General features: G+C 36.4%; 1 protein-coding gene across 29 annotated transcripts in view, besides 1 other annotated feature; it reads left to right on the top strand.

Moving 5' to 3' along the window:
* Positions 251-561: a silencer, noted in NCBI's record as "fragment chr3:123680084-123680394 (GRCh37/hg19 assembly coordinates)". NCBI's record gives its function as "represses an EF-1alpha promoter that drives an FKBP-Casp9 reporter gene in an ReSE screen in K562 erythroleukemia cells {active_cell/tissue: K562}" and the evidence as "EXISTENCE:reporter gene assay evidence [ECO:0000049][PMID:32094911]".
* CCDC14 (coiled-coil domain containing 14) overlaps positions 569-12,979 on the top strand; it is a 76,054-nt gene continuing 63,643 nt past the window's right edge. For 8 of the 29 annotated variants that reach the window (XM_011513081.3, XM_005247715.5, XM_006713733.4 and 5 more), the window contains exons 1-6: positions 569-654; positions 5,003-5,058; positions 5,371-5,443; positions 5,683-5,752; positions 5,833-5,955; positions 12,666-12,902. In XM_011513081.3, coding sequence (XP_011511383.2) covers positions 625-654; positions 5,003-5,058; positions 5,371-5,443; positions 5,683-5,752; positions 5,833-5,955; positions 12,666-12,902 — 589 coding nt within the window. In that variant the 5' untranslated portion in view covers positions 569-624. Of the gene's footprint in view, positions 12,903-12,979 lie in introns of all 29 variants that reach the window. The other 21 variants (XM_047448748.1, XM_047448739.1, XM_047448738.1 and 18 more) reach the window with 16 other exon arrangements.

The raw sequence follows: 12,979 nt of genomic DNA, 5'->3' as shown, positions 1-12,979 counted from the left end.
CAAAATCCCAACTAATGAACACCGTTCTGAGATCAGTGGCCACAGGGAATAATTCTGCAATTTCCATCACACGCAAAGGTAACAACCCCGAGGTCTTATTTTTATAGAATATCAAGAACAAAATCTTCCAAAAGGCACACGATGCCAAACTAAAAATAAAGAGCGAAAACCCAAAAAGTCGCGCTCAATTCCTTCTGAAACCTATTCGCCTCCTACCCCTGTCCCATCCTCTGGCGCTGGCGGGTCCTCGTCCCCGTTTTCCCCACCGCAAGTCCTGGAACCTCCGCTTAACTCTTTTCTCGGCGGCTCCGCCCCGGCCCCGCCCCAGCCATGCCTTGGCCCCGCCCCGTTCGCCGTTTATTGGCTTCTCCCAACCCCTGCCGGTGGGTGACAAGCCGGGAAGCTTGGAGGGGTCTATTGCGTACGCCCAAGGCGCTGGGCCTGGAGCAGGAGAAAGGGAGTGGAGGCGCGTCGGAGACTATGAAGCGCGGCATTCGGCGGGATCCTTTCCGGAAGCGGAAGCTCGGCGGGCGGGCCAAGAAGGTCCGGGAGCCCACGGCGGTTAATTCTTTTTACCGTGAGGCTTCACTTCCCTCGGTCTGGGCTTCTCTGAGGCGGCGAGAGATGGTCAGGTCTGGAGCTCGACCGGGCCAGGTGAGGGCTGAGGACCTGAGGAGTCCGCTGTGGGGATGGAGAGGGACAGGGGGGTTTTCGGGCCAGGAACTTGTAAAACTCTGCTCGAAAAAAGACAAAGACAATGCGGCGACATTAAAGTGCTGGGACAGAGGTGCAGGGAACACCTAATCTTCCCGTCGTAACACGGCCGCTCGGTCTCTAGATGTTTCTGTTTAAATCGTCGTAGCCCTAGTCTAGAGCGCCGGCTTTGGGGTCAGGCCCGGGTTCGAGTCCCAGCCTTCGCCGCTGCGTCGAGTGACTTAACCTCTCCTAGCTTCAGTCACCTGCAGATTGAGAGTCTACTACTTTTTACTGCTCAGAACTTCCTATTCCTTAGCTGCAAAATAGGCAGAAATAAGCATAAAATCCTGTCTCAAAGAATTGAGAAGGTTAAATAAGAGAACCCGGTAAAAACATCGATCACACAGTTGTTGTAGACATACAACAAAATTTAGTTCCCTTTAAAACACGTAGTTTGCCACCATCTTAATGATAACAGCAGCCAACATTTAGATAGGACTTATGTGGCAGATGCTACTGTAAGTGCTTTTATGTATTACATAGAATAACTCATTTAATAGTCACGATATCCTTATGAGGTAAGTACTATTATCCCTATTTTATATATGAGGAAATCGAGGGCTGGAGGATTCAAATAACTTGGCAGTTACACAGCTGTGGAAACAAGATTCAGACTCACAAAACTGATGCCAGAGTCCATTCTTCTTTTAAACATTTTACCTAGTAGATGTATGACTTTGAACAAACCACTTTTCTGAAATTTAGGTTCCCACCTCACAAATAATAACTCACAGGGTATGGATTAAGTGAAAATGAAAGACCTTAGCACACTGTAAGTCATTCTACAAAGGCAGTATTATCTTGTACTTGTTGGTAGGAGATATGACTACTAAGAAATGCTTATATGATTCTCAAATAGCAAAATTAAAAGTTTAATGATAATAACCTCGTAGAAGTAAGTGTAAAATAAAGCAAACTGATTCTCCTGTATTGTGATTAGGACACTCCTTTTGGAGAGCAGCTTTGCAGTTTGTATCAAGGGTTATTAAATTGCTAATAACCTTTCACCAAATAATTTTCTTTTTAATCCTAAATATAAAAAGGCTGTTTTCAGTAGATAGAAAGGCTTATTCCAGGTTTGTTTTTTTAATTGTGAAAAATATGAAGCAAACCAAGACCATTATTATATTACTTCCACTGAAGGAAATATTATACAACCATTAAAAATTTATGAATATGAAAAAGATTTAAAAGTAGAAAACACAGGATTTAAAATTGCAAATATCTAGGTATTATGACTAAGTAAAAAATGCATATGAAAAAAGATTGGAGGCCCCAATAGCAAAGAACACATCTAGTACCTAGATCTTGGTTTCCACGTACCACTGTCCACTAAGGAGTCATGGCTTCTTGGAGAAATGACCAACTCCAGGGCTGAGCAGGGGTAATATAAGAAGAGCATGGACACATCAAACTAAAAAGCTTCTGCACAGCACAGGAAATGATTAATGGAGTGAAAAGGCAATCTACAGAATGGGAGAAAATATTTCCAAGCCATGTATCTGATAAATAATATCCAAAATACATATAAGGAATTTCTATAACTCAAAAGCAGAACAACACATAACCTGGTTAAAAAACGAAAAAAGGATTTGAATAGACATTTCTCCAAAGAAAATGTACAGATGGCCAGCAGGTATATGAAAAGATGCTCAACATCACTAATCCAGGAAATGCAAATTAAAACCACAATGAGCTATCACCTAACCCCTGTTAGGATGACATTAAAAAAATGAAAACAAGTGTTGGCAAGGATGTGGAAGAATTGGAACCCTTGTACACTGTCAGTGGGAATGTAAAATGGTATAGCTGCTATGGAAAACAATATGGAGATTCCTCACCAAATTAAATATAGAACTATATCACCCAGCAATTCTACTTCTGGGAATTTATCCAAAAGAATTGAAATCAGGATATAGAAGAGATATTTGCACTCTTGTGTTCATTGCAGCACTATTCACAATAGCCAAATGTGGGAACAACCCAAATTCTATCTGCAGATGAACAGATAAAGAAAATATGGTATATACATACAATGGACTATTATTCAACCTTTAAAAAGAAAGAAATAGCTGTCATATGCAACAACAGAGACAAAACTTGAAGACATTATGCTAAGTGAAATAAGCTAGTCACAGAAGGACAAATACTGCATGATTTTACTTACATAAAGTACCTAAATAGTTAAAACTCATAGAAACAGAATGTGAGCATGGATTGGGCGTGAACCAGAGGGATTTTTGTTTTTTGGGTTTTTTTTTGTAAAGAACAGTATTGGGATAATTGGCAACATGTGAATAAGGTCTGAATATTAGATTGTAATTCTGTATCAATGTTAATTTCCTGGTTTTGATAATTATACTGTGGTTATGTTAGAGAATGGCCTTGTTTTTAGGAAACATTTAGGAGTAAAGGAGTATTGTATCTGCAAACTTAACTCTAATGGTTCAGGCAAAAAGTACTGCTGTGTATATATATTGAGAGAGAATATGGAAAATGTCAAGGTTCACAGAATCTGAGTGAAGCATATATAGGGCATCTTTGTACTATTATTTCATAGTAGAAACTACAAAAAAAAATTGAAAGGAATTGTTCCAATATGACAGTTACTGTTTCAAGGTGCTTTTATCATGGGTAGTTTTCTTTACCAGATTTTCTATAATATAGCCTTGTGTATATTTTTTGGAGAAACACCATATGTAATCTTACAGTTATGCCAGACATATACCTCAGACAGTGTACTTTAATTGTGGTAGTTGTTTTTGGACTCGATCCAGGGTATAGTATTATAGTGTCATGGCTTGGATTTTTTATTATGATTCCAGCCAAGACATCGACATAAATATACCAAAGGGAAGGACCCTGAGAGTGTGATGCAGAGACCAGTGGTGTGATGTTATACAAGGTCTTATTTCCTACATTGTTGGTTCTCACTGCTGGCTTCATGACCCTCCATCATAATCCAAGTTATCTCAAGACGTATAACTCTTACCAACCCAGTTTTTAAAAAATGTATTCTCAGTGACATTCTTAGAAGGATGGAGCACATATTCAAGCATATAATAGAATGCCGTATAACTTTAGAAAGTTTGGTAGTTACAGCTCAAAGCTATCTGGAGATGAAATTAAATATGTGAAGAGAAATTATAAATAAAACTGCCAACAGTGACTACATCTGGAGGGTGGAACTAGGGGGGGAATCAGGGACTTTCTCATGTCTATTTAAAATTATTTTGAATAAAGATTATATTTATCTGATATAAAATTATTAAGATATAAAATAGTATACCATGGAAAGTGTCCCTTCTCGCTCTGTCCCCCAGATACTCTGTTTCCCTCCCCAGAGGCAACCATGATTAACTGTTTCTGGCATAACTCCCAAGATACTGGATGCATGTAAAAGCAAATGCTTATTTTTTCCTGTTTTTCTACACAAAAGGTTGTCCATTATTGTCACTTTTAAAACAAAAAAGTTTAAGAAAACAACAGTGGTATATGAATTTAAAAAGAAAAATTAAGACAGTGAGATGTAGATAAAGAGACAGGGTAGAGTTCTCACTTCCTGGTCTAATCAGGCATTCTAAAGAATGTACATAAAAGGAACCAGAGTTAAGAACTCTGTCCTATATCATGAATTAACTTGCATGTTTCAAAGAATTTGGGACTATAGAACATATTTTGGGATTAATATAGTCTGAACTTAGTGTAGTAGTTACTTCTGGTTTAAAATAGTATCTCAATTTCCTTTTCACCTTAAATAGACTTAAGGAACAAATATATGTGTAGTTTGCTTGACGTTTTACATAAAAGAAATTTAATATATGAATTAAATTATAATTGTGTATTTTTAGGATATATCACATTAATTAAAACAGTGAATAATGTGGTACATACATATAATGGAATATATTTGACCTCAAAAAGGAAGAAAAATTTTGACACATGCTACAATATAGATGAAGCTTGAAGACATTATGCTAAGTGAAATAAGCCAGTCACAAAAGAACAAATATTGTATTATTTCAGTTATATAAAGTTTCTAGACTAGTCAAATTCATAGAAACTAGGATGATAGTTGCTAGGGTCAGGGAGAAGAGGGGATGGAAAGGTATTGTTTAATGGATGCAGAGTTTCAGTTTGAGAAGATGAATAAAAGAAAAAAATGACATTAAATTTTGTCAAGATAGCATATTGAAAATATAATAGAAAAATATTTGTTTATCTGCTATAATATATTATGTCATAGGTGTTATCTTCAGGAAGGCACACTGGACCTGCTAAATTAACAAATGGAAAGAAAGCGTAAGTACTTGAAGACGTTTACAACTTCAGATTTCAAGGAATTTTTCAGGTCTTTGGGCTGGATGACATGTCGTCTACCCCAGAAAATTAGGTAGGCCTCTACCATCACAAGCTCTGAGGAACAATTTTTCATGTCTACCCATGTTAATCATTTTAGTATTTAACAGTCTTTCTGATCTTCAGAATGTGTTTATAAATTCATCTTGTACATGGTTGGACAAGCTTTCTTGTCTTTGCTGGAAAGAAAATGACTACTTACTAATATATTTTGGGAAAAATATTTGTAAGAATATTAATAAGCTTGTTTTCCAGGACCTATTTAAGAAAAATACCACGTTTTAATGCAGATTCTGGCTATTCCATCCATTCTGATTCAGAAAGTCAGGTAAGATTGAATAGATACAATACACACTATTTTAATTAGTTTTCAAATAGTAGCTAAAAAGTAGGAATAAAATGCAAAGTATTAATTGCTCTAAGGAAGTATGAAGTCTGTTGCTTTAAAACATCTTTTCTACCAATAATAGTTTGTAAATAAACAAATTTTAAAACTACATAATTTATATTTTTTCCTACACTAACAGTCATATACAAATGTATTCTAAATGACTTTATTTCTTACAGGCTGAAACTGTACACGGGCTTGATGGTTGTGCTTCTTTGCTGAGGGACATTTTGAGAAATGAAGATTCAGGTTTTTTTTTTTTAATTCTTTGCTGATCACCTTATCTCAAGTCATTATTTTGATGTAACAAATTTTTGTTTTATTAATAGGTTCAGAAACAGCATATTTAGAAAACAGATCTAATTCTAGACCTTTAGAAAGCAAAAGATACGGATCAAAAAAGAAAAGACATGAAAAACATACTATTCCTTTGGTAGTCCAGAAAGAAACATGTAAGCCTTTTTTCTCTTAGTTATTTAAAGATAATCCTTAATTGTGGGTATTTTGATCAATTATCAGGATTATACAGTTGATTTTCATTTTAATAATCAGTATTAGTTAGGTTTATGTGTGCTTATGCCTTTCTGTATTCAGCTTCTAATCACTGAGTAGTCCACTTTGCTTGCTATCATTTTCTCAAGAAGAAAAATAGAAAAAGAGACTGTCAGGGTTTTGTAGGAGAAAAAGTTCAAACTCAGAATGACATTTGGGAGGTATATAGAGTGATCTTAGTTTCCCCTGCCACTTGTTTTCATAGATAATCATAAATTGGTTGTATTTCAAGTGTATACTTCTAGTAGTTGCTTTAAAATTATTATATTTATATATATATATATCCTAAGTTGGTCAAGCTGAACTTGTCAAGCTACACAGTTAGGATACATGGTACATAGGAAGGTAAAATCGGATGAATAAGGAAAGGCTGCTGCTGATTGGTGGTGAGTATAGCCAAGGGTACTTTACACCCTCACGGCTAACTTTTCCTAGTTTAGAACAAGAAAGTTTTGATTATGTTGTCCCTTGGAGGCCTAGAAAACAAGATAGCCCAAAATGAAGATGAAAAAGTCCACAGTGGGAATTCAGATGGACTAGAATTAGACTAGCCAGTTCTATAGTTCAGGTGGGCCAGAAATGTCAGCACTGTAGTACGTGCTTAGATTCAGCTTGGGCAAGGAATGAAGTTTAGAAAGTCATATAAAGCAGTAGCCCTATAAAGAGATCAGGATTTAAGCAAGGAGGCTGAGAAAGTGTCAGTAGAGCATTCATGGGACTAGAGGTTGATGTTTCAGATAGTCCCAAGGTAGAGAACTAAGGCAAGGGAAACCTAACTCATCTTGGAGGCCAGTAATGATAGCTTTATATTATCTTGACCTGTGCTATTCAAGATGGTAGCCACTGGCCACATGTGGCTATTCAGCACTTGAAATGTGACTAGTACAACCAAGGAATTGAATTTTAATGTTATTTAATTTAATTTAATTTAAAATTAAATTAGAAAACTGATAATTGATCCAGTTATTATAAAACTTTTAAGTATGTTTGGAATAACTTGGGCATGTGAACCTACCTTTTCAAGTGTAAATTTTATTAAATCTAAATATAGACCAAGTATTTCTGATGAGAATTTAGCATCTAGATTGTGCTTTGTGTAAAATATATGCTAGATTTAGAAGATTTAATACAAAATTTCAGTTATTTATATTATACACTGAAATGTTAATATTTTGGATATATTGATTTAAATATTATGAAAAGTAATTTTACCTATTTTATATGGTTACTGGAAATTTCAAGTTACATATATGGTTTGTATTATATTTCTATTGGACAGCATTGGTCTAAGCTCAATACACTACAGCCAGTTTTATAAGTAATGTTTAGTTATTTTATTGTGTAAATAAGATTTTATTAGAATGCAGCCAAGCTAATTTATTAATGTGTTTTTATTAGCTGTTTTTGTGCTGCAGTGTCAGAGTTGAGTAGTTTTGACAGAGATCATCTGGCCTGCTAAACCTAAAATATTTATTTGACCTTTGAAGAAAGAGTGCTAAACCCTGGCCTTAACTCTTTAAAGCAGAGGCCTTTTTATTGGGGCCCAACTGAGAAAGAAAGGAGCGGTAGCACCTGTTCCTCCAGTCTCCTACTTTTTGTCTGTAGGCAGGTTATTTCTTATCCAGGGCACCTTTCCTCAAGGAACTATTATTTGCAATATATGTGACTGGCAGTGGGTGTCATGGTATCAACTTACTGGATCCTGACTTAACTGCCTCTGTCGGTCAGAGTTCCAACAAGAAACAGATGGCAACACTCAAATTGAGGTAATTTTAGGAGGGTTTATTTACAAAGGGACTCATAAAGGTATGAATAGGGTATAGGAAAACCACAGGTTTTGCCTACTAGGTCATGCGAGCCTAGTGCTAGCAGCAGAGCAGCAGAGCTGTTATCATCTCTAGGCCATAAGGGATTAGGAGAGAGAGAGGTTACTGGATCTAGAAAGAGATACTGTTTATAGAATACGCTACCTTGAGAAGAGCAGTGAGCTTCATTGAAATGACGAAGGCAGCCCAAGGTGGCCTTATAGAAAGGGAGCAGGAATAAGTGTATATCCTGACTTCATGCTTCTTCCTTTCCTTGATATGCCAAGACTCCCATTGGATTGAACCCAACTGAAGCCCTACTGATGTATATCAGGTCTGGGATTTGACTCTTACAAGCTAGTAAGTTAGTCTTACTGTGTCATGGATGCTAGCAGAAGACAAGACTGCTGGGTCAGAGACAAAGGACTTTATTACTCACAGCACAGGAAGCAGTATGTGCATCAGCATATTGTGTTGGTTCTCATTCACCCTAGTTCCCATTGGGGTGATATGGTGGACCCATATGGATGCTGCACATGCCTTAGGTTTAGGTTGCAGCTGAGGAACACTGAGCTTGGGGAATCCGTCACTTTGGTAGTAAGCAGTAATCAAGCCTGTGCTTGTCCCAGAGGGAAACATTACCTCATCCTTCAAGGTTGCTCACTGCAGACACAACCCTGAGAAGCGGCCCAGGTAAGGAGTTTAGGTCAAAGCCTTGCTTTTTTGGTATATACAGCAAGACATATTGAAGGACTGTCTTTTTGCAGCCCATATGGATCAGCATTCCAGGGAGACCAGGGTGAAGACCAGTAGAGGTGGGTTTGGATTGGCAGATGGAAGATTCTGGCATTCTGGGTCCATAGCGTTAAATTCTTATTTGGATTACAGCCGAATCAGCAGTTCTGGCCTGTGATCAGGGTGCAATATTCTTATTGTTCTTTCTCCCATATTTTCTTAATCAGAAGGAAGGACCTACTTCCACAGGACAATCTTCTTTAGGGTTGCAATATTAGAAATTAGTTTCTAGTTGTGTGTGTGTGTGGTTGGCAGCTGTTAACCAATAATACAAGATTTTGCTTTGTTACCACAATGCTCAAAAATACACAAAATCCAAGCTCATAACTTGTTCTCTTTACCGTCTCCAAGTGAAGTAATCATAAAGAACTTTAAGCGATCTATTACAGCATGTTAACTAGTATCCATGTATTATTTTACTTTTAACACACATTATCTTGCTATTTTGTGTTAACTGTCTTCTGGGGAGTGGCCTCCTTATGTACTTTCTATCTGGGATGATATGATCATTGAATGCCTACCTGATCACTGAATGCCTATGGAGTCAGGTAAGCACACCATGATGCATTCTGGGACTAAGGAGGCAGAGAAGCCCTTCCAGAATTGTATTGAGCTTATTTGAGAGTGCTTCTGGCATTTAAAAAAAATATGTATTTTTTAAATAAGCAACTTTTACATGTGATAACTGTGTTGAATGCTTTCATGATTTTGCTTTTAGTAACATACATTGCTGTCTTCATCTTGGGGAACTAAACCAACCACAGGCAAAAATCCTTTGAGCATTGATTGCCACTCATAAAGGCCAGGTGTTCTTACGTATTTCAAATTATAGTAGGCATCTAGTGGCTCTTACCTGCACTGGATGTTTGTTCTATATTCGAGTGGCAGGAATAACTTCCTGTCAGACAGTGCTTGCACAGCAGCTAGACTTCAGGGACTGAAAAAGTTTTGTGGACTGAGTAAATGAATACTTTCCTTTCATGAATTCTAGTTATCACCTGACATCACTTAAACATTGCCAGACCAATAGCTAAAATTTTCATGTAGAGTGCGTTGGTGTAATTAACAAGAGCAAGAAAATATACTTCATTTGTATTTGTGTAGTAACAGGCTCATTTGATCATTGGTTTGTTTTATTTTAAAACTGTGTAGTAGTCATATAACTGCAGTCCTTCCCTTATGGTTTCTAACTTGTCTTGGATTGTTTGCTTTAAGACTTCATATCGTTAAGTAAAGTTACTCAACATTATCCGTAGAGATTTGTGTGGACTGAGTTTATAAAGGAGCAGAATATGTCATTTTAGTTCTAAGGCTTTGATTTTGAAGAAATAGGTTTGGAATTTATTAATTTATGTTAGTTGATGACATCTGCTGGCTGAGGCATAATGTAGCTCAGCTTTATTAGAAACTGTGAAAACCACGCCTTGAAAAGAAAGTAAATGAGAGCCTGATGCTGTGACCTGTGTGTGAAATCTGAGAATTCTTCAAACTAGCCAATTCTTAAGGACCAGAGGAAATCCAAGAGCAGAAGGAAAGACCCAGGAATCAAGAGGAAAGGACTTGTGGTATGCTAGATGGCCATGGGCTATGATCTCACCCTCTATCATTTTAGATTTCAAAGTTAAAATATTTTAGAGGGCACTTTTCCATTTGATTTATTATAAAATTGTATTTCTGGTAAGAAATAGTATTTGCTTTACAAAAGTTTATTAACCAGTTTTGTTTGAGCTGATCAGATAGTGAAGGTAACTCTTATTACTTTTGATTTTAATCATCTCAGAGGGGACATGTTCAGAGGTTTATTACTGACATCAGATAGTATGATTTATGAATATGATATATTTACTTGTCTATTGTAAGAGTGCAGCTATTTGGTGATATTTAACATTGAGTTTTTACTGTGTGGTAGACATTGCTTTAAGAAATTTACAAGTGTTACGTCATTTACATCTCTCAATAATCTTATAAAATAGGCATTATTAAAATTTTTCTGATGAGGAAAAACAGGTCAAGAGAAGTTAATTTGCGCAAGGTTACTCAGCTAATAAGTGTTAAAGCTTGTATTTAGGTCTGGAAAGTACATTTATAGGAGTAGATCATCTGAAAAGGAAGCATACCCCAAGTCAAAAGGGAAGCATCTGATATCTTCAGCCATTTTCGTAGTCAAATATTGTCTTTTTCTTTAAATTTTTTTTCTATTTTCACTGGTTATAGTATTAAATCTGCCTTTAACTTTTTCTGTTTTTGCTTTTACATGGAAGTTTTACACTTTTAGTAATATTTTTATTTTCAATAAACTATATTTGAGGGATTCTCTACTTTTAAATTTTTAATTATTTTGTTTTTTAAAAAATTAAGGAATACTTCTCATAAATAATTTTAAAGTACATAAATCTCAATAAATTTTTGCATACGTATACACCCCTGTAGCCACCACCTAGATCAAGATACAGACAATTTTTAGCACCCTGCGAGGCTCCCTCCCTGTCAGTACCCTCACCATCACCTAGACCCTCATCCCTGTGTAACCATTTTCCTGACATCTGTTTCCATTTGTGACTTTTACCTGTTTGATGACTTCCTATAAATGTGATTGAACACTGTGCGCCCTTGTGTTTGACCACTTTCAGTCAGCCTTAAGTGTATTAAACATCCAGGTAGTTGTATATATCAGTACTTTGTTGGTTTTTTAATGCTGTATAGTATTCCAGCCTGCGAGTATACCACAGTTTATCCATTTCTGCTATTCATGGCTATTTGGTGTTTTCAGCTTTGGGCTACTGCAAATCAAGCTGCTGTGAACATTCTTGCACATGTCTTTCAGTAGACATAAGCACTCATTTCTATTGGTGTATACCTGGGAGTGGAATTGTTATTTCATAGAATATATGTACGTTTAGCTTTGGTAGGTGTGACAAATATCCATATATTTTTCTAAATTTATTTTGTATACTGATAACCTATGATTTACCAGAATATTTTCATTTCTGTTAATAGTGTTTTAAAAAACCTTTGGGAAGGGGACCTAATTAGGGAAATAGTATTCAGATTGTTATACCAATCTATAGGTAGTGCTATGTAGAAAACTTTGTTGTTTTTTACTTATTACTTTGTTAATACCGATTTCTACCTTGTTCATAGACTAATACTAGGTTCTGTAAGAGAAAACAATGAAGTACAGCCCTGCTTAGAGAAACTTGTGGTTTAGTCAGAAAGGCAGGAGGATGAAAGATAAGCAATATAAGGCAGTGTGTCAGTGGCATATGATTTCTATAGACAATATGTGCTCTAGGGTGGTGAAGAGTAGTCACTAGACTGGAATGATTGGATTGGAAAAGGCTTCATGGAAGAAGAAAACTCAGATGAGCCTTGGTGAGTGGGTAGAATTGGATTGGTAGGAATGGTTCATGAACAATGTTATTGGAAGGTGAGAAAAGCTTGTTGGGTAACTAAATTGGCCTGCCTGAAATGAAAAATTGGAGTTGGGAGTGATGGGGCGATAGTTGGAAAAGTAGCTTGTGGTCAAGCTTTGGAAACTTTAAATGCCAGGCCAAGATTTTGTTTGTTTGGTTGGTTTTGTTTTGTTTTGTTTTTGAGGACCCAAAGCATCAGAATTGTACAAACTATTCTCTTTCCTATTGCATTTTCCCTTGAGAACATGAACTGACAAGGAACAAGGTGAAGGAGTTTGACTGGACTTTAGGGATAATATAACTCCCTTAAAAGAAGTGTTAAAATGAAGGAGAGATTTTACAAATGGCAAGTAGCATAAAAAATGGGAATTGTAAAGAATTAGTATAGATGATTTTTGACTGGGGAAACTTAAACACTAATTACTTTCAGAAAGAATTTGAGATGATTTTCTTTAGTAGGGGTGATAGTGGTAAAGCCCTTCTATGAAGTATGTGATGGATTGGACTACTTCTGAGAGCCCTTTCTTCTCTTAAAATCTTACGGTAAAAGTTTTTGAAGAATCATATTTCAAGAACTTTTTTCTTCTTCCACATTAGCATCTTCAGATAATAAGAAACAGATACCTAATGAAGCTTCTGCTAGAAGTGAAAGAGACACATCAGACCTAGAGCAAAACTGGTCATTGCAAGATCATTATAGAATGTATTCACCCATAATATACCAAGCCCTCTGTGAGCACGTGCAGACTCAGATGTCACTGATGAATGACTTGACTTCAAAGAACATCCCTAATGGAATTCCTGCTGTACCATGCCATGCTCCCTCTCATTCTGGTGAGTACGAATGCTGTTTAAAAATCGTGAGTGTAAGTTCTAATTAAATTGCTTGGTTACTGTATAAAAAGTAGGAT

This window comes from Homo sapiens, chromosome 3 (assembly GCF_000001405.40).
Source record: "Homo sapiens chromosome 3, GRCh38.p14 Primary Assembly".
NCBI lineage: Eukaryota > Metazoa > Chordata > Mammalia > Primates > Hominidae > Homo > Homo sapiens.
Note: the sequence above shows the minus strand (reverse complement) of the source record. Positions and strands in the feature narration are given on the sequence as shown.